Below are 21,915 nucleotides of genomic sequence, written 5' to 3' on the forward strand. Positions count from 1 at the left end.
TATCAGGATGAAACTGGCCTCATAAAATGAGTTAGGGAGGAGTCCCTCTTTTTCTGTTGTTTGGAATAGTTTCAGAAGGAATGATACCACCTCTTCTTTGTACCTGTGGTAGAATTCAACTGTGAATCCATCTGGTCCTAGGCTTTTTTTGTTGTTGTTGTTAGGCTATTAATTACTGCCTCAATTTCAGAACTTGTTATTGTTCTATTCAGGGAATCAACTTATTCCTGGTTTAGACTTGGGAAAGTGTATGCATCCAGGAATTTATCAATTTCTTCTAGATTTTCTAGTTTATTAGTGTAGAGGTGTTTATAGTATTCTCTGAGTTTTTTACTTATAGAAAATCAGTTTGTTTTTTTTCTTAAAATGGCTACTTTGTGTTTCATCTCTTGGATTGTTTTACTGGGATCCCTGGATTCCTTGGATTGGATTTCAACTTTCTCCTGAATCTCGATGAACTTCCCTGCCATCCAGATTTTGAATTCTGACTGTCTTTTTCATCATTTTCAACAAGTTATGAAACATTCCTGGGGAGCTAGTATACTTGTTTGAAGGTAGGAGGACACTGTGGCTTTTTGAATTGTCAGAGTTCTTGAACGGATTTCTTTTCTCATGTCCTTAATTTTACAGAAGCATATATTAGCTAAGTATTTTTGGTGTTGTAGTTTGTGGTGCAATTCAATAGATTGTGCTAAAGAGTAATGGCTGGCAGATAGGATCTTATTTAGAGGCATGACTCTTTCATATTTCCTTATGTTTACAGTTGTGCTCTGTGGTGCAGTTGGAGAAAGGTGACTCCTTCACCAGGTCCACTCCTGAGACTTAAGGATGCCCCTCCTCTCACTGACACTGTGCCCACGTTTCTTTTGTTAGATATTATGCACCATGGAGATCCCTTGTGCAAAGGCCAAGGAGGGGAGAGAGGCCACTTTCTGGACCCTCCCCATAGAGGGAGGCATGTCCAATTCCTGTGGCAACCCACAAACCCATGTGACTCTCCTTTCTCAGTGCTCTCATAGTATGGGCTCCTCTCCTCCATTGCCAGCCACAGATCAGGGCTCAGCACTCCTGAGCTGTGCAACGCAGCCTTAGGGTGAACTCAGGCTTTTTGTTTCTTTCCCAGCTTGGGAGCAGCAGGGGCAGAGACCTCAGCAGTGGTGATGGCATAGGGGCCTTCACTTGTCTTCAGGAACTCCACCCCAGAGAAACACAGAGACACTACCAATGAAGACAATCACTGGTGTTGGGATGGCTGTGCTGCGAGGCCAAGTAGGATGTGGTAAAGGTGCACTGTCTGGCAAAGAGCAGTGAGAGCAGGGGTTCAATGGAAAGTCAGTATGACCTCCTCTCTGTAGAGCAGTGGTGACATGCTGGAGGTGCCAGCAAAGCAATCAGGCTCTTTGTTCCCTCCCTAGCCTGGAGGGGAACCAGGTCAAGGGAGAAGAGTCTGGCTGATTTTGCATATGGCAGCTGCGATGTGCTGGAGGCCCAGGGCTGTTCTGCGGCTCTTTGCTCCATCCCAGAGCAATGGAGAGCTGTGACCAGCCAAAGGGCTCCAGGTGTGGGGGTGGGGAGGTGGGGTAACTTCACTGGTGTCCCAGGTTAATGAGCCTGGTCTGATAAGGTGCAGTGGTGGTGGGACCTACAATCTATCTGCTCCTCAGCACTGTGAATGTGGTTCTTCTCCAAGGGGCACATAAGAGAGCACAACCTTCCCTGCTGGTGGAACTACAGCAGTTGGCACTGGGATGCTCAGGGATCCAAAGCCTGTGGGGTGCCATATAGGCATGACTGGTGACTCTGATTAGACTTCAGACATCTCTCTGTGTCACTCTGGAGGCACAAGGGTGTCAGGGGAGATTTCCTGTGCCCAGGCTTGCAAAGGTCCATGGCACAAGTGTGGGTCCCAAGGGGCTCTCACTCACTCACCCTTTCCCAATGGTAGGGAGTTTTCCCTGGATCTGCACCAAAATTGGTGGGTTGCTGTCTTGTCTCATTCTTCTCTGCTCTTTGTCGGTCACATTGCTGACTTGGTGAACCCCAATATGGCCTTCTGGACAATCCACTTGAAGAGTTAGAGTTTATTAGCTACTTTCCTCCTCTCCCTAAGGGCAGCACACATTAGTTGCTTCTAGTCAGTCATCTTGGTGCTTCTGAATAATTTTCCATTTTATAGATTATATATTTTGCTTCTCCATTCATTAGTTAGGGACATTTGGGTTGTTTCCACTTTTTGGCTATTATAAATACTGCTGCCACAAATGTTTCAGTACAAGTCATTATGTAAACATGTTTTCAATTTTAGGTCATATGGTAACTGTATGTTTAACTTTGTGAAGTCCTGCCAAACTGTTTTCCAAAGTGGCTGCACCATTTTACATTTTCACTCTGTGGTTGTTTTTTTCACTTTCTTAATGATTTCCTTTGAAACACAAAATGTTCAATGTTGATGCAGACAAATTTCTCCTTTGTTTTACTTTGTTCCTTATGTTTTTGGTGTAGTCTCAAAGAAACCATTACCTAACTCATCATCATAAAAGTTTACTCATATTTTCTTCTAACAGTGTTACAGTTTAGCTCATATATTTAGGTCTTCAATATATTTTGAGTTAGTTTTATGCATGGTTTGGGTAGGGGTCCAACTTCATTCTTTTTCATGTGGATAGTCAATTGTCCCAGTACCATTTGTTGAAGACTTTTCTTTCCCCAATCAACTGTGTTGGTACTCTTGTTTAAATCAATTAACCATGAATATAAGGGTTTACTTCTGGGTTCTCAATGCAGTTTCATTGATCTATATGTTTATCCTATGCCAGGACTATACTGTCTTGACATCTGAAATCATGAATTGTAAGTTCTTCAAATTTGTTCTTCTTTTTCAAAATGATTTTGGCTCTTCTGGCTCCCTTGCATTTCCATATACATTTTAGAATAAGTTTGTTAATTTCTGCAAAGAAGACATCTGGGATCCTTTTATTATATAAGACTGTGTTGAACTTATCGATCAATTTGGAGAATATTTTCATCTTAACAATATTAAGTGCTGTGATCTATGTATGTTGTATGTCTTTTTATTTATTTCAGCATTTTAAAATATCTTTCAACCATGGTTTGTAGTTTTCAGCATACAGATCTTGCATTTATTTCATTAAATTTATTCCTAGATATTTTTCCTGCTATTACATATATAAGAACATTTTCTTAATTTTAGAAATATTTATTGCCAGTGTGTAAAATTATAGCTGATTTTTTATATTGACTATGTATCCTCCAACCTTGTTGAGCTCATTTATTAATTCTAATACATTTATTGCATTCCATAGGATTTTCTATATACAAAAGTTCATGTCATCTAGAGCCAGTTTTACTTCTTCCTTTCTAATATTGATGCTTTTATTTTATTTTCTTATCTCATTTCTCTTTCTCAAACCTCCACTACGATGTTGAATAGAAGTGATGAGAGAAAATATTGTTGTTTGCTGCCTGTTCTTAGAGGGAAATCATTTAGTTTTTCACCATTAAGTGTGATGATTACTGTGGAATTTTTATAGATGCCTTTTATAATCTTGATGACGTTCCCTTGTAGTTTTTAGTATGTTGGCTGTTTTATCATTAAAAGTTGCTGGATTTTGTCAAATACTAATTCTTTATCTACTGAGAGAACTATGCAGTGTTTGTTCTTTATTCTATTAGTATAATGTATCATGTTTATTGATTTTCAGCTGTTGAAATGGTCCTGCCTTCCTGGGATAAGTCTCACTAAATTGTGTAGCATAATCCTTTTTATATGTTGCTGGATTAGGGTTACTAGTATTTTATTGAAAATTTTTGCATCTATATTGATAAGGGATATTAGTCTATAGTTTTCTTTTTATATGTTCATGTGGTTTGGATATGAGTTTAAGACTGTCATAAAATGAGTTGAACAGTGCTGCCTTTTCTCTAACTTTTTAAAAGACTTTTTGTAGAATGGCCTTAATTCTTCTTTAAATGTTTGGGTAGAATTCAGCAGTGGAGTCATCTGGTACTTGGCTTTCCTTTGTGGTAAGTTTTAAAATTCACAATTCAACCTCTCTGCTTATTATAGTAGAAATCTATTCAGATTTTTAATATCTTCTTGAATCTGTTCCAGTAGTTTATGTCTTTCTAGGAATTTGTGCTTTTCATCTAGGTTATCTAATCATTGGCATGCAATTTTTCATTCTCCTACAATACTTTTTATTGCTATAAAGTCAATAGTAATGCCCCCTTTCATTCCAGATTTTAATTATTTGAGTGTTCTTTTTTCTTGTTCAGTCTATTTAAAAGATCACTAATTTGATCTTTTCAAATAACCAAATTTTGGATTTATTAATTTTCTCTATTGTTTTTCTGTTCTGTGTTAATTAATTTCTGCTCTAATTGTTGTGTCCTTCCTTCTGCCTGGTAGAGTTTAGTTTGTATTAAAATAATACAAGCTTTTAAAAATAATATAAGCTATCCCAGCCATAAATTTCTCTCTAATGACTATTTTTGTTGCATCTCTTAAGTTTTGTTACGATATGTATTACATTTTCTTCACCTGAAAGAGTTTTTTAATTTCCCTCTTGATTTCTTCTTGATGCATTGATTATTTAGGAGAATGTTGTTTAATTTCCACATGTTTATGAAATTTCCTAATATTCTTCTCTTATTGATTTCTAATTTCATTTTATTATGGCCAGAAAACACATGAATTATGATTTCAATATTTTTAAATTTATTGTTTCATATTTTATGATGTAGCATATGGTTTATTCTGGAGAATGTTCTATGTTTGCTTGAAGAATGTGTATTCTATTGTTGTTGGATGTAGTATAGTTGCCTTTTATGTCTAATTGGCAGTTCATGTTGTGTGGCATGTCTTTAAATTGCATTTTTTGACAATGCTTTTTATTTCTCTTAAAAAACTAATAAATCAGTTTATAAAACCTTTTAAGAAAGGCAGAAGAGGAAACAAATGGCGGGTAGGAGGCAGGACTAACTTGTAGCTCCCACTCAGACAAATCCAGTAGCATGTGGAGACTCACATTGTGAACTTTGCTCCAAGAACTACTGCAGGAAATACCAGGAAAGCTGAGGGAATCCACAGACCCTTTGAAGGAGGTGGATTGCTGCTGCAGGCTCTGTGGGACAGCTGAGGAACTGTGAGTCTGCTTGCTTTCTCAGCTGGAAGGCTTGTAGCCTGGAGCAAGTTCTCAGCCCTGCTCACCAGCAGCCTGGAAATAAACTCAGTTTACTGGTGGGGGTGGGCATGGTGGGAGTGAGAGTGGCCTTTCAGACTGTGGGCTGCATGGGAGCTGGATGAGGCCTGTGGCTGCTAGCTTTCCCCCACTTCCCTGGTGACCTGTGTGACACAGCAGAGGCAGCCATAGTCCCCCTGGGAACACAACTCCATTAGCCTGGGAGCCACACTCCCATCCCCCACAGCAGCCACAGCAAGCCCCACCCAGGGAGAATCTGAGCTCAGACATGCCTAACCTTCCCATACCTGATTGTCTTACTCTTCCTACCTGGTAGCTGAAGACAAAGGACATAATCTTTTGGAAGCTCTATGGCCTGCCCACCACCTGGTACCTATACTACCATAGATCATGCACTCTTGAAAGTGCCACATCCTGGCTAGAGGCCAACCAATATAAAACCAGTGCACTTAATAAAAATACAACCAAAGACCCTCACAGAGTCACTTCACTCCCTTGCTACCTCCACTGGAGCGGGTGTTGGTATCCATGGCTGAAAGACCTGAAGACAGATCACATCTCAGGACCCTTTAAAGACACTCCCCAGTACCAGCCCAGAACCTGGTAGCCCCACTGGGTGCCTAGATCAAGAAAAGAATAATAATCACTACAGTGTGGCTCTTAGGAAGCCACACTGTAGTGAGGAGAGAGCCACATCAAGGGAAAAGAGGAGAGAACCACATCAAGGGAGCACCCTGTGGGACAAAATAACCTGAACATCAGCCCTTGAGCACTAGATCTTTCCTTTGACATAGTCTACCCAAATGAGAAGGAAACAGAAAAAGATTTCTGGTAATTGTGGTAATGTGATGACAAAATAAGGTTCTTTAACACCCTCAAAAAAATCACACTAGCTTACCAGCAATTGATCGAAACTAAGACGAAATCCCTGAATTGCCAGAAAAGGAGTTCAGAAGGTCAATTATGCTAATCAAGGAGGCACCAGAGAAAGGTAAAGTTCAATTGAAAGAAATAAAAAAAGGATACAGGATATGAATGGAGAAATCTCCAGTGAAATAGATAAATAAAAAACAATTACAACTTCTCGAAATGAAGGACACACTTAGAGAAATGCAAAATGCACTGGAAGGTCTGAACAATAGAATTGAACAAGTAGAAGAAAGAACTTCAGAGCTCAAAAACAAGGCTTTTGAATTAACCCAATCCAACAAAGACAAAGAAAAAAGAATAAAAAATAAGTAAACAAAGCCTCCAAGAAGTTTGGGATTATGTTAAATGATCAAACCTGAGAATAATTGGTGTTCCCATGGAAGAAGAGAAATCTAAAAGTTTGGAAAACATATTTAAGGGAGTAATCAAGGAAAATTTCCCGAGCCTTGCTAGATATCTAGACATTCAAATATAAGAAGCTCAAAGAACGCCTGGAAAGTTTATCCCATAAAAGATCATCTCCTAGGCACATAGTCATCAGATTATCTAAAGCGAAGACAAAGAAAAGCGTCCTAAGAGCTGTGAGGCAAAAGTATCAAATAACCTATAAAAGAACACCTATTAGTTTATCAGTAGATTGCTCAGCACAAACCCTACAAGCAAGAAGGGATTTGGGTCCTACCTTTTGCCTCCTTAAAGAAAACAATAATCAGCCAATAATTTTGTATCCAGTGAAATAAAGCTTCATAAATGAAGGAAAGATAGTCTTTTTCAGAGAAATAAGTCCTGAGAGGATTTGCCACTTCCAAGCCAGTTCTACAAGAACTCCTAAAAGGAGCTCTAAAACTTGAAAAAAAATCCTCAAAATACACCAAAACAGAATCTTTTTAAAGCATAAATCTCACAGGACCTATAACACCACACACACACACACACAAAAAAAGGTACTCAGATAACAACTAGCACAATGAATAGAATAGTACCTCACATTTCAATACTAACATTGAATGTAAATGAACTAAATGCCCTACTTAAAAGATGCAGAATGGCATAATGGATAAGAATTCAGCAAATAAGTATCTGCTGTCTTCCTCACCTGACACATAAGGACTCATACAAACCTATATTAAGGGAGTGGAAAAAGATATTCTGTGAAAATGGACACCAAAAGCAAGCAGGAATAGCTATTCTTACATCAGACCAAAGAAACTTTAAAGCAACAGCAGTAATAAAAAACAAACAGGGATACTATATAATGATAAAAAGACTAGTCCAAGAGAAAAAATCACAATCGTGTGTGTGTGTGTGTGTGTGTGTGTGTGTGTGTGTGTATATATATGCACCTAACACTAGAACTCATAAATTTATCAAACAATTACTACTACACCTAAGAAATGAGATAGCAACACAATAATAATGGGGGGCTTCAATACTCCCCTGACAGCATTGGACAGGTCATCAAGACAGAAAGTCAACAAACAAACAATAGACTTAAATTATACCCTAGAACAAATGGACTCAAAAATATTTACAGAACATTCTACCCAACAACTGCAGAATATACATTCTATTCATTAACACATTGACCATTCTTCAAGATTGACCATATAATAGGTTATAAAACAAGTCTCAATAAATATAAGAAAATCAAAATTATGTCAAGTACTCTCTCAGATCACAATTGAATAAAATTGGAAATCAACTTCAAAAGTAACTCTCAAAATCATGCAAATACATGGAACTTAAATAATCTGCTCCTCAATGATTGTTGGGTCAACAATGAAATCAAGATGGAAATTAAAAAATTATTTGAACTGAACCATAATAGTGAAAAAGCTATTAAAACCTCTGGGATACAGCAAGGGCAGTGCTAAGAAGAAAGTTCATAGCATTAAATGTCTACATCAAAAAGTCGGAAAGAGCCCAAATAGACAATCTAAGGTCACACCTCAAGGAACTAGAGAAACAAGAACAAACAAACCCAAACCCAGCCAAAGAAAAGAAATAACAAAGATCAGAGCAGAACTAAATGAAATTGAACAAAAAAAAATACAAAAGATAAATGAAACAAAAGTTAGTTCTTTGAAAAGATAAAATTGAGACACCATTAGAGAGATTAACCAAGAAAAAAAGAGAGGATCCGAATAAACTCAATTAGAAATGAAACAGGTGATATTACAACCAATACCACAGAAATACAAAAGATCATTCAAGGCTACTATGACCACCTTTATGTGCATAAACCAGAAAACCTATAGTAGAAGAATAAATTCCTGGAAATATACAACCCTCCTAGATTAAACCAGGAAGAAGTAGAAACTCTGAACAGACCAATGACAAGCAGAGAGATTGAAATGGTAATTAAAAAGTTACCAACAGGGAAAAAAAGTCGAGGACCAGATAGATTCACAGCTAAATTCTCTCAGACATTCAAAGAAGAATTTGTGCCAATCCTATTGATACTATTCCAAAAGATAGAGGAAGAGGAAATCCTTCCTAAGTCATTCTATGAAACCAGTATCACTCTAATACCCAAACCAGGAAACTACATAACCAAAAAAGAAACCTACAGAACAATATCCCTGATGAATATAGATGCAAAAATCCTCAACAAAATACTAGCTAACTGAATTCAACAGCATAGCAAAACGATAATCCCACCATTATTAAGTGGGTTCATAACAGTGATGCAGAGATGGTTTAACATTTATGTCAGTAAATGTGATATATCACATTAACAGAATTAAAAACAAAAATCACATGATCATCTCAATAGATGCAGAAAAAGTATTTGGCAAAATCCTGCATTTTTTTATGATTAAAACCCTAAGCAAAATTAGCATAGAAGGGACATACCTTAACGTAATAAAAGCCATCTATGACAGACCCACAGTCAACATTATACTGAATGGAGAAAAATTGAAAGCATTCTTCCTGAGAAATGGAAAAAGACAAGGATGCCCACTTTCACCACTTCTATTCAATGTAATACTGGCAGTTCTAGACAGAGCAATCAGACAAGAGAAAGAAATAAGGCATCCAAATTGGTAAAGAGGAAGTCACATTATTGCTGTTTGCTGATGACATGATTGTATACCTAGAAAACCCTAAAGACTCCTCCAAAAACCTCCTAGAACTGGTAAATGAATTCAACAAAATTTCAGGACACAAAATTAATATACAGAAATCAGTAGCCCTGCTATACACCAACAATGACCAAGCTGAGAATCGAATCAAGAACTCAACCCCTTTTATGATAGCTGCAAACAACAACAACAACAACAAAACCTTAGGAATATGTGAAACTAAAGAGGTGAAAGACCTCTAGAAAGAAAACTACAAAATACTCCTGCAATAAATCATATATGACACAAACAAATGGAAACACAGAACATGCTCATGGATGGTTAGAATCAATATTGTGAAAATAGCCACACTGCTAAAAGCAATGTACACATTCAATGCAATTCCCATCAAAATACCCCCATCATTATTCATAGAACTAGAAAAAACAATCCCCAAATTGATATGATACCAAAAAAGAGTCTGCATAGTCAAACAAGACTAAGCAAAAAAATTAAGCTGGAGATATCAAACTATATTATAAGACCATAGTTACCAAAAGAGCATGGTATTGGTATAAATTGGGCATATAGACCTATGGAACAGAATAAATAGCCCAGAGATGAAGCCAAATAATTACAGCCAACTGATCTTTGACAAAGCAAACAAAAACATAAAGTGGGGAAAGGACACCCTATTCAACAAATGGTGCTTGGATAATTGGCAAGCCACATGTAGGAGAATGAAACTGGATCCTCATCTCTCACCTTATGCAAAAATCAACTCAAGATGAATCAAAGACTTAAATCTAAGACCTGAAACCATAAAAATTCTGGAAGATAACATTGGCAAAGCCCTTCTAGACATTGGCTTAGGCAGGACTTCATGACCAAGAACCCAAATGCAAATGCAACAAAAACAAAGATAAATATATCGGATTTAAACTAAAAAGCTTCCGCCCGGCAAAAGAAATAATCAGCAGAGTAAACAGACAACCCACAGAAAAAGAAAAATCTTCACAAACTATGCATCCAACAAAGGTCTAATATCCAGAATAAACAAGGAACTCAAACAAATCAGCAAGAAAAAAAACAAACAATTCCATCAAAAAGTGGATTAAGGACATGAACAGAAAATTCTCAAAAGAAGATATACAAATGGCCAACAAACGTGAAAAAATGCTCAACATCACTAATGATCAGGGAAATGCAAATGAAAACCACAGTGCAATATCACTATACTCCCGGATGAATGGGCATATTTTAAAAATAAAAAAATTAATAGATGTTGGCATGGATGTGGTGAAAAAGGAACACTTTTGCATTGCTAGTGGGAATGTAAACTAGTGCAACCAGTATGGAAAACTGTATGGAGATTCTTTAAAGAACAAAATGTAGACCTACAATTTGAACCAGCAATCCCACTGCTGGGTATCTAACCAGAGAAAAATAAGTTATTATATGAAAAATACACTTGCACATGCATGTTTGTAGCAGCACAATTCGCAATTGCAAAAATATAGAACCAGTTCAAATGCCCATCAATCAACAAGTGGTTAAAGAAAATGTGATTATCTATCTATCTATGTATCTATCTATCTATCTATCTATCTATCAATCATCTATCTATCTATCTATCATCTATCTGTGTGTGTGTGTGTGTGTGTGTGTGTGTGTGTGTGTGTGTGCCATGGAATACTACTCAGCCATAAAAAAGAATGAAACAATGACATTCACAGCAACCTGATGGAGTTGGAGACCGTTATTGTAAGTGAAGTAACTCAGGAATGGAAAACCAAACATCGTATGTTCTCAGTTACAAGTGCGATCTAAGCTATGAGGACACAAATGCTTAAGAATGACACAATAGACTTTGGGGACTCAGGGGGAAGGGTGAGAGGGTGGTGAAGGATAAAAGACTACCCACTGGGCACAGTGTACACTGTTTGGGTGATGGGTGCACCAAAATCTCAGAAATCACAACTAAAGAACTTATTCATGTAAGCAAACACCACCTGTTCCCCAAAACCTTATTGAAAAAAAAAATATATATATATATATACACAAAGAAAAGCAGGAAACTACTAGCTGAACTGAAATATAAATAAAAATGAAAAACTTCATTCATACATAAAATATTGTTTTCCTTTTAAATTTGGTTTATATATAAAAATTGTGTTTTCCTTTTAAATTTTGTTTCTGTGCAAAACAATTTTTAATTAGAAACTTTAAGGATAATACTACTTAACTTCTTATTTATATTTGGTTAATATGTTTAAGTTGACACAATATTAATTTAGTGAAATTTAATGGGAAAATACTTTAGACCAGAAAACAAAAGACATGCATTCTAGGTTTGGTTCTGCCACTAACTTGCTGTGTGGCCTGTGTGGAGAATCTGACTTCTTTGGATTGCAGTGTTTCTATCTGTAAACATAGGCCATTCCAGCTCCAGTATTCTTTCTAAGAGCTAGGAAAAGCATAGGATTTGAGAGAGACAAACCTGAGTTTGTCTTAGGATTTCACCAGTCCTTCTTGAGTGACTTTCATGTCCCTAAGACTGAGCTTCTGGATCTATAAAATGGGAAGAATAATATATACCATGCTAAATGTTTGTTAGGATTAAATGAGATTTTATAGGTAAATTACCCAGCAGAGTGTGGCCAACAATAGGTGCTCACTACCTGTTAGGTCCCTTTTCTCTTATTTATGAGTACGCAAAAAAAAAAAAAAAAAAAAAAAAGACTGAACAGACCTAGTAGTAACAATGATAGTTGCTATGCAGTGTACATGTCTGCGTTCTTTTAAATGATAACCAACCTGAGAGCTTGCACATCTGGTAGGGAGGAAAAAAATCTTATGTAATTCTGTTAATTTTTATAGGTTAGACAGCTATGAGGTAATAATCAAAATTTCTTAGAATACAAAATACAAAAGGAAATGTCATATTGAAGTCTCGGTTTATTTATTCTCTCTGCAAAAGCTACATTCCTTTGGAGTGTTAGGTAGCCTTTAGAGCAATAATAATATTCTCACTTATATCTGGGGTTGCTGTTTTCATATTTGTTATCTCATTTGAGCTTATCCCAGTGTCTGGCATATAATTGGAATTTAACAAATGTTCACTGAATAAATGATTCTCTGCAATATTTTATAAAGGTAAACAGCATGGACATTACTATCATAAGTTTTCCTGTAAAGAAACTGAGCTTCAGAAAAGAGATCAATTAACTAATCCAAGGTCATAGGGCAAGTTAAAAACTAAAACTAAAATCTAGGAATCCTGATTGTTCCTCTGCTCTTCACTGGACTTCATCATGTAGTCTGATTAAAGTTACTTAGCTCTTGTCTGTCTGTCCATTCTTCCTCTGTAAAATAGTATCTTTATTGTTCAAAAAAGGCTTTTCACAGTTATTAAATGAGTGTAAGGCTTTCTGACCCACTCTTTTTCCCCCTTATGGAAAATCAGTGAGGAGAAATGCTTCTTATTGCAATTTTTAATTAGAAACTTTAAGGATAATATTTGGTATTTAGCTGTTTGGGAATTCCTTTAATTTACTGGTGTTCAGCCAGCTTTTCTTCTAATAATCAGAACTTCACTGGTAGTGCAGTTGATTCACTTGCAGACTATTATGTGGTATCTGTGGTGTAACTGACAGGAAAAATGCAATGTGAAAGACTAAGAAAAGCAGTGAACTGAGCTATAGCATTTCAGGCATTCTGCTCTTTGTGGTTACAAAATTTCATGCTTTCTTTTACTTAAGTGAAATTTAGGTTGCCAGATGTCTTGTGCACACATGGCCGTTCTGTTTCTGTGCCGTATTCCATTTTCATCTGTATTGGAATACATAATAGTACATTTGAGCCAAGTCAAATGCATTTAGTTGACTACTGTTGGCATTTGTTACCCTCCCCCACTTCTCTACAGACCTAGTTTGAATATGTTCCACATTCTCGAGACTAAAACCCTTCACCAAACTTTCTCACACATCTGAATCGCTTTGAGGCAAAATAATAACCGAGGTGAGATCTTGTTAGTCATGTTAAATGATGATGGCAATTGTTCCCTGCAGACATTGTGATTTATTTAGAGGCCAGTATGGTTTGACCTTTTAACTTTCAATTATTTTTACTTAGAAAACTATAAATGAAAAAGATAACTGTGAGTTTTAATTTTTAAAGTTATTTTTATTGATGGGAACACACAAATTAGTCTGTGCTGACATGTTTTCTCTATGTTGTGCTAAATAGATTTAAAAAAAAAAACAACAAGTTCAGACCAATTAGAGTAAGTTAACATCTAGTTGTCATGCCCCAATAAGAAATTGGCATTTTAGATCGTAAAGTATTCTGGGAGACTGCTGTTATATGTGCCAGGGCTTTGACTGTAGGAATACTAAAAAACTACTCAATATGATAATTATATAAATCCTAATTGAATCTTGCTTTGATTGACAATAAAGAGTACCTGACATATAGGAGGTATTTACTAGGTATAGATTTCTGTGGAGTTGAAATAAATTTAAACAGGCATTTTGGTATTTTCAAGATGCTTGTGGTCACTTTAACAAAGATCGGTTATTATAATGATATCTCTTATTTATACAGCATTGTCAATTTTCAAAATGCTTTTTATCATGAGTTTTCTCATTTGATGCTTTTGTGAACTTTGCTGGGTAGAGAAAGCAAATATTATTATCCTCATTTATTAAATGAAATAGGTTGTACAGCTAGTAAGTGGCAAACCTAGGAGTTTAATCTTAATATCTTGATCCCTAGTACTTTGATCCCTATATTGTTCTTGTCATTCAATATTTGATATCTTGTAGAATGTTAGATATCAAAATTTACTGCATTAAGAATTTTAAAAATTATCTATTCCTACAAAACCTTTTAAAAACAGACTTATACAGGTACTTTATGAACTGAAATACATGTAAATCCTTCTACAGACTGACCATAAATATTCCAGGCACACTTTAATATCATAAACTACAAAATATTTGTTTAAAAAAGCAAACCAGAAAGGGAGAGTACAAAAATACATAGACATCATTTTCTTCTTAAATTGTCAACTTAGAAAAGTTAGCTAAAGAGGGGACTGTTTTCATCTGTGCCAAATATTACAAAATATTTATTTTTTAAAAACAACTTCATTTAGAGACTCTTTAAAGTGTTTGAAACTGATGAGGCCCAAATGAAATGGTAGTCTCTTATTATTCATGATCCTTTGTCCATTACTAGATTGTGAAATCATTGATGGTAGGAATATTGTCCTGCATATGTTTATGTGTACTTCAGTGCCTTGCTTACAGTAAGCCCTCAAAATAAATACTTGATGAAAGTTGAGCTTAATTTACTTTTAATATTTCGCTTTTGATGGTTTGAACTCAACTTCATCAAATCTAAGAAGATAAAAAGAATAGGCACACTTTATCGCTTACTTTTTTATCATTTTCGATATTCTCATAAAATTATTAAAATACAAAGTAATCATGTTTCTTTCCTACTCTGAGTTTGTGAGATGGGGAAAGAGAAAGGGGCCAACCTTCAATTTTTATGTTATAAAGTCCTGATACATATGAATTTGTTGGAATAAGTATGCAGTATTTCATAGCAGAAGAGAAAAATACAATCATATCTACAACAGAAAAAAAGAAAGAAAAACAAATATCTTAGTCTAAATCACTCACAGGATAAAGTTTAAACTCCTTAGCTATTAATAGATAATGTCTTTAACCTAAAGCTTCATCTCCCCACCTCCACCCTACACACACACACACACACACACACACACACACACATCTTTACTCTCCAGTGACATAGAACTATCATTTCTGAAGACACCTTGCTTTTTCCCTCCAGCTTGATTTTTTGTTTGCACCATACTAAACCTAGGAAGCCCTGCCTTTCCTCTTGCTTCCAATGAGGTTTCTCCAGGAACCAGCTCAAAATGCACCACTTCAGTTCAAGCAGAATTAGTGTTCTCTCCTTTGTATGTCACAGTGCTGCACTACCCAACGGCTTCCCCTTTTAAATTGTGGTCAGAGCAAAAACAATGAGTCATGCTTTAGTTATATTTTTCCTTTTCTGTCTCTCTCTTTTCCCTCCTCTTCTCTCCTGCCTGTCTCTGATGCATAGAAGGCATTCCATAAATGCTTGTTGAGTGAGTAAAGTAATGATTAATTTAATAAATTAAAATCTTTTCTAGGGTACTAGCACTCATGTTTAGTGAATCAATATTATTAAGGTGGTTAATAGAGTAAAGGTCGTTCATACTGAGGAGCAGTGTGGTACGTTGGATGACACTCCAGCTTTGGAATGAGACAGATCAGAGTTTGTTTTTAGAATCCATCAATTCCTAGCAGTGTGACCTCTGGCAAGTAACCTCACTTCAGTGGACTTCAATCATTTGATTTGTGTAATGGGGCTAACAATATTTACTTTGCAGACAGTTGAAAAGACCTAAATGGCCCAACACAATATCTGGCAAAGAGCAAGTGCTCACTAAATGGAAATTTTTATTAGTCTCATTAGCTGGTATGTTTCAGTTTAGTATATTTGTTGCCATCACATAACTTAGCATTTGGCTATCTATGCTAGCTGTGTAACGCCTGCTAATTTTTTTGTTCTTGACCACATTTAAACCTCTCATGTTATACTTTAAATACTGTCCACAGTACCTGACTGAATGGTAGCCACAGACTTGATTTTTAACTCTTGGGTTAGAATTGTGGATCACGGTGAAAAGAGAGCAAAGGATTTAAAAACAATAGGTAGAGGTACACTGAGCTTTGTTAAGTGACTTTCCTTTCTCTGGTCCTCAGCTCATTAATCTGTAAAATTAAGACGAGAGCTTATTGAGTCTTTTTCAACATACAGCATCTGTGATTCTGTGATTAGATAATTATTCCCGTTTGTAAAATAAAGAATTGTACTCTAATTAAATAAGCCTCTGTAGCCAGATAGAAAAATATAGAGTCCAGGTAGGTTGACCAACCGTCTCAGTTTGTCTAGCACTGTCCCAGTTTTGGTGCAGAAAGCCCTATGTCCCATGACTCCTCTCAGTCCCAGGGAAACCAAGCACAGTTGATCTTCCTAGGTCCAGGGTAATTTGGCCAATAAGAGGCATTTTTTCTTTATGGTTGCTTAAAGTTTTTTTTTTCTCTCTTTAATTCCACATTGACAAATAGTGTTTGGTTTTAGGAATAAAGATGAGCAACTGAGTAGGAGAAAATGCAAGAAGGGCCTGTATATAGTATACAAATAAGCCCCTTTCTCTGATAATAAAATGTCATCGAATCAGTCACTATGTCAAACTTTTTATGTATAAGACACTGTGTTACACTTAACTGTCCAGGGTAGGGATGTAGATCATTCTGTTCCTTCACCCAAGCTAAGTATGTATGTGTGTGGGTGGAAGTGGGGGAATACAGGACATGTACCTAGGGAAAGAACCCCCACGTATCACAAAGCAATTGTAGTGCCGAAGTACATTTGACTGTTCAGGAAAGGAAGGGAAGGCCAGTGAGGACTAGGAGAGGTGGAATTTAAGGCTGCAGAGGATTTGGATGGGTTATGGAAGTGGCTAGGTAGACAGTCCAAGGGGTGGTGCTGCTATGTAATGTACAGGTCCTGTAGATAACTGTTCTGGACTCCCAACTCTCATTAAAAACACCTTGGAATCTGAAAGAGGTCTGAGACATTAGGTATACAAAAGAAAAATTTCCAAGAAATGAAAAAGGGAGTTTGGTGGGTGATGACAGGGTTAGCAGTAGAATAAGAGAACCAGGGAAGTGGAAGTAGTACCAAAGCATAGGACATGGAACTATTAGCCAAACTCTTTAGAAGTTTTTGTTTTGAGTTTTCCCCTCAGTTTTAGGGGAAAACTTAAGGGACCCACTTAGGTCTCTGCTGCCATAATTTTGTTTGGCTCTTACCACTGCATTAGGGAGGTTGGCATGCTGTAGGGGAAAGGGCAAAGGCTTTGTAGGCCAAACAGGTCTTCATCACTTACTAGCTGTGTGGCTTTGGGCAAGTGAATTAGCCTTGCTTGGATTCTGTTTGCTCATTGCTAAAACAGGAGCAAACTACTTCACTGGATTGTTCTGAGGAGTAATGAGATGATTAATGTGTGTTAAATGTCTGACATTGTAGCTGAACATATTAGTGGTCCAATGAATGGTAAGCCCCTTCCCTATTACCTTCTAGGGTTATAATCATTTATTTGATATTTTGTCTACATTTGTCTAAATGAGGGAAAGAGTCCGCTTTTAGCAGCCTCAATGAGAGAGGCTCCTAAGGGAAAGCTGAAAACACAGAGGAAAAGCATTAGGTTCTGCTTAGACCACTCCTCACACCTCACCTGGAGATTCTACCTCTCAGCACCCCAACCCTCCTCTAAACCCTCTTCAACCTCCTCCCAATCTCCCCCAAACCCTCTTCTCAATCTTACCTCTACCTTTCCCCTAATCCCTCCATACCTCACTTACTTTCAGCCCTAACCATTCCCTACTCTCACTTTCAGCCCTAACCATTCCCTACTCTCTCCATCTTACCCTCTACATCATTTCTCCATCATCTGCAGACCTATCACTACACCCGGAATGTTTAGGAGCCTCCCTAAACATTGAACATTTTCTAATTCCCTCTCTCCCTCCCAATTTACTGGTTCATTATCTCTTCCTCTAGCTAAGCCAAGAAATAACTCAAACACAAGTAGAAATTGCTAATATTTATTGATTCTTTTAAGAAATATCACTTACAAACTTATTTTCTTTATGTAAAAGATGTTGCCATTTTTGTGATATAGAAAATATTGATAAGAAAAAAATCAAGTCAGTTTAACAGCTATGCTTTTTCATTATTAGTTTCTAATATCTATTCTCATGTGTATTGTTAGTATAATTGTAATTAAAACAGTTCCGCAGGATGCAGAGTTCTGAGATAGAGGCATGCAGAGTTAGTGAAAAAAAAAAAAGCAGCTCAAAGTCATCAGGTTCAGTCTATCATCTAAGAGGCAGAGTCGTTGTACAGGTAGCCTTAGTACATAGCAAGATGTTCAGTAGAAGATTCAGGGAGCAGCAAATGCTGATGACAGCTGAGGTAACAGAAGACAGGTTGCCAGGAACAGTCACTAGGACACAGGATCTACCCAGAAATTATTTCATCACGATTTCTTCTATTCCACCTGTGCCTGAAGCAATTGTAGTGACAATAACGTGATAGAAAGGACACAGTGCGGGTACTCCATTCTATGTTTGGGTCATGTGTCTCAAGCCAATGGATTCCAATAATCAGAGGGTATCGTGGTGCATGAATAATGTCAAACTGGAGCTCTTCAACATGGTTTCCAATTTGAACTTGGACAGGTGATGTTTCCTTAGTTATGGGTCCATTAATAAGTGGATGGCCGTCGACAGTTTCCAGCATCAGAGGGAAGATATTACTGCGGATGGGCAGCTTCTCTCGAAGAACCACAGTATGATCAATGCTGTTTCTGTAGGAGCCTGAATCTACCATTGCTTGCTCAAAGAATTATCTTCTTCCCAGTTGGATTTCAACAGTAAGCCATAGTGTATGAGACATGGATATTGGAAGAGAGGGGGACGCATATTTGTAGATTGGCCCACGTGGGGTCCCCCTTACTGGCAGGCCTGGATGTTTCCCGCCTGCAGGGCCTGATGAGGCTTGACAGGGCAATCTCTGGCAAAATGACCAGGATAACCACAGTAGAGGCATAAGCGGCCTTTGTGCCAACGGACCCATTCAGCTTCACTGATGTGTGGGCAGTTGATTGCAGCCTGCATAGGTTGGTTTTCAGCTGGTGGACTCTCGGGTCCATCTCCCTCTGCAGAGGAACTTTTCCCTAATGGATTGGGATCAGGCTTCTCTTCCAGGCTGATGCACTGAGTGATGAGATCAGATAGGTTGGTGGCTGGGCTTGTGTGAGACAGTTCATCTTGTATAGAACTGGCAAGACCTTCTTGAAATTGGATCCAGAGAGTGCTTTCATCCCAGTTCAGCTCTTGAGCAATGAGGTGGAAGTGGGTTGCTACATGACCCTCCCCTTGGCAGAGTTGATGGATGCACTGGTTGGCATCTTTCATGTTTTCTGGATTATCAAAAGTATCCTGGAGCACAGGTATGAAACTTTCACATTGCTCCAGTAAGGGGCTTTGGATATCCAGTAAGAGCTGGAACCACCATCCTGCCCTACCTGAGAAGCAATTGCCAACAAAGCTCACCAGGGCTGCTTCAGTGGGATACAGGTGCCCTCTGACTCTCATGTAACTATACAGCTGAACCAGGAACTCAGGAAGCTTCTGGGAATCTCCACTGAAGGTTAAAGTGTATTGCAGGGGGAAATCTGTAGCCTCTAACCCAATAGGGGCCTGTGGAAACTCTGAAGCTGCTGATGTCTCCACAACTATTAGACCCTCCAGGGACTCCTGGGCTGCTGAGAGTTCTAGGAATTCCTGGGCATTTGAAGGCTCCAGAGGCTCCTGGGGAGGTGGAAGCTCAAGGAACTCTAGCTGTGCTGCAGTTTCCTGGTATTCTGGTGCCTCCTGGGGCTTCTCAATATTTGGGGGATCCTGGGGTTCTGAATTCTTGGGCTCTTGGGCTATTGTGGCATCCTGGGTGTTTGCAGGCCCCTGGCCCTCCAAGACTGTTGGGATCTCATGGGCCATTGGAGGTTTCTGGGACTCCCGGGTTGCTGGAGGCGCCAGGGACTCTGGGGCTGCTGGGGCCTCCTGGAGTTCCCAGGCTGCTGGGGGTTCCCAGGGTAGAAGATCCTGTGGCTCTGGTGGCTTCTGGGGTTCCTTGAACTCTGGGGTCTTTTGGGCCTCCCAGGCTGCTGGGGGATTCATGTGCTCTGGGAGCTTCTGGGGCTCCTTGGCCTCTGAGGACTTTCGGAGTAGATCATACTCCTTGGCTGCTTGGGACTTCTGAAGCTCTGGGATCTGGGCCTGGAGAGCAGCATTTTCTTCCATCAGCCACTGCACTTGAGCCTGCCGAATTTCATTCTCCAATTTCAGAACAATATAGGAGGCTGCTAAGTCCTCCACCATCTTTTGAGGAAATGGGTATGATTTGACAATTTGCTACCAAGAGAGATTGGGTGGGTGTTTGTGAGATCCTTCCTGAAAGCTGCTTACAGGCAGATGTCAGGCTCAGTGAGTTTTCCAAGGGGTGGTATTTGGGCCCCGCCAAGGCTGATTATCAAGAGGTCACTGGGAGCCTCCGGAGCTCGGCAAGAAGGAGCCTCCGGAGCTCAGTAAGGGGAAGTGTCAGATACACTGCGAAGAGAGTGGGAGCTGAGGATCAGAAACTGTGGAAAGCACACATTCAACATAAAACAAAATCTGCCCAACAATGCTGGGTTTCTTTTACCATAGGCTTATGTTCATGAGCTGGGGTATATATGCTGGATCTGACTCCACGACATTTTAAGAACAGCATCTGTCCCAAACTGCACATGTCATTTTGCATTTATCCTTTGAAACTTAACATTATATCAAAAGCAACTTTTTAATATTATTTTCTGTTTTATATAGTCTTTAATCTTGAATATCTGCCTAATATCCCAATGTAACATTTGGATTTTAACAGCTGCTTTCAGTGACTAAATCAAATGTTTGAGCAATGTGGGAATTTTAGGCTCTGCGGTGGGCCAGCCCAAGAGATATTTTTGGGTGACTAGGGTGGTAGGAAGTAGGAGGGAGCTCTTTCTGACACCTCAGAAATCATACCACATAAGTAACCACACAAGACCAGCCTCAGGAGAAAACAAGCAAAAGTCGACTAAATATATATATATATATATATATATGCCCTCAGAAGACACATGCATATTATTTATAAAATACCTCAAAATAGTTAAGAAAATAATCTTTATAAATGTACGTTACCATTCAGAGACTTAGTCCAGGAGCTTGGCTGTCTGTGTACCCATTGCTGAGGAGGGAAATGTGTAAATGGCTGTGGAGGCTTGCCTTTTCTGCACACACTGAACTCAAGCAAACACACCCACTCCCAGAACACATTCCAACTTTCCTCTGTAACATAGCTTTTTAAAGTGTGGAAGAGTTTTTTGACAGTACCTCACAGTTCAGAGCTGCAAGGAAAGTAGGATGCTGTGCTGATGTGAAGCAGCTTCATGTACTCAGTCCTTGGTTACTTTAATGAATATTTGGCCAGGAAATTGTGAGTAATACCACTGCCCTTGTGAAAAGTTGCAAACATTTTTGAATGACCACAGTGGTTTGGGATGTGATTTTTTATGTCTGTCTCATCTAACCTATTCTTACTCTGTCCAAATTGGGCCATTTGTTTACTTCTCACTCAGGGAACAGCCTGCAAACCCTCAGCCCCTTCCCTTGCTTACTACCTATTCAGTCCCTAGGGTTTTTCCTTGCAATGTTTTCTTGGAAAATTTGCCACAGACAGATCTAGAAAAGGTATAAAAGGGTACAAATGTCAGGGAGACCAATTGTGTTGGTGGGTACTTATAGCAGTCTTACAGAGTCCCTGGCTCTTTCTGAATGTCCTGGACCAAAGATCTCATGCTTCCCTGAACTGATCAGGTGCTCCAGGTAGCACTCAGGACATTCACTAAAGACTGGCCTCTTGGGAAGTAACCCTGCTCAGAATCTCACTTTCTCTTCTCATGCCAGATCACAGTTATGCCTTGGGTATGG

At 38.3% G+C, this 21,915-nt stretch overlaps 1 protein-coding gene and 1 long non-coding RNA gene across 2 annotated transcripts in view; one reads left to right on the plus strand and one right to left on the minus strand.

The window, feature by feature from the left end:
* The first annotated feature begins 15,324 nt into the window (after positions 1-15,324).
* LOC107985670 (uncharacterized) overlaps positions 15,325-21,915 on the plus strand; it is a 68,935-nt gene continuing 62,344 nt past the window's right edge. Inside the window, exon 1 of the long non-coding RNA XR_001755900.2 lies at positions 15,325-15,380. This is a non-coding gene — a long non-coding RNA (uncharacterized LOC107985670). The remainder of the gene's footprint in view (positions 15,381-21,915) is intronic.
* On the minus strand, positions 17,934-21,194 carry RTL3 (retrotransposon Gag like 3). Its single transcript, NM_152694.3, has 2 exons — positions 21,127-21,194; positions 17,934-20,514 (listed from the first exon to the last, which is right to left on the minus strand). Exon 2 carries the CDS (start codon positions 20,284-20,286, stop codon positions 18,859-18,861), a length of 1,428 nt encoding a protein of 475 aa, NP_689907.1. The 5' UTR covers positions 20,287-20,514; positions 21,127-21,194; the 3' UTR covers positions 17,934-18,858.

The sequence above is a fragment of the Homo sapiens genome, chromosome X (assembly GCF_000001405.40).
Source record: "Homo sapiens chromosome X, GRCh38.p14 Primary Assembly".
NCBI lineage: Eukaryota > Metazoa > Chordata > Mammalia > Primates > Hominidae > Homo > Homo sapiens.

Bases quoted from the DNA above. Each gene is read 5' to 3' on its own strand.
- RTL3 (NM_152694.3), bottom strand. From the start codon at position 20,286: ATGGTGGAGGACTTAGCAGCCTCCTATATTGTTCTGAAATTGGAGAAT.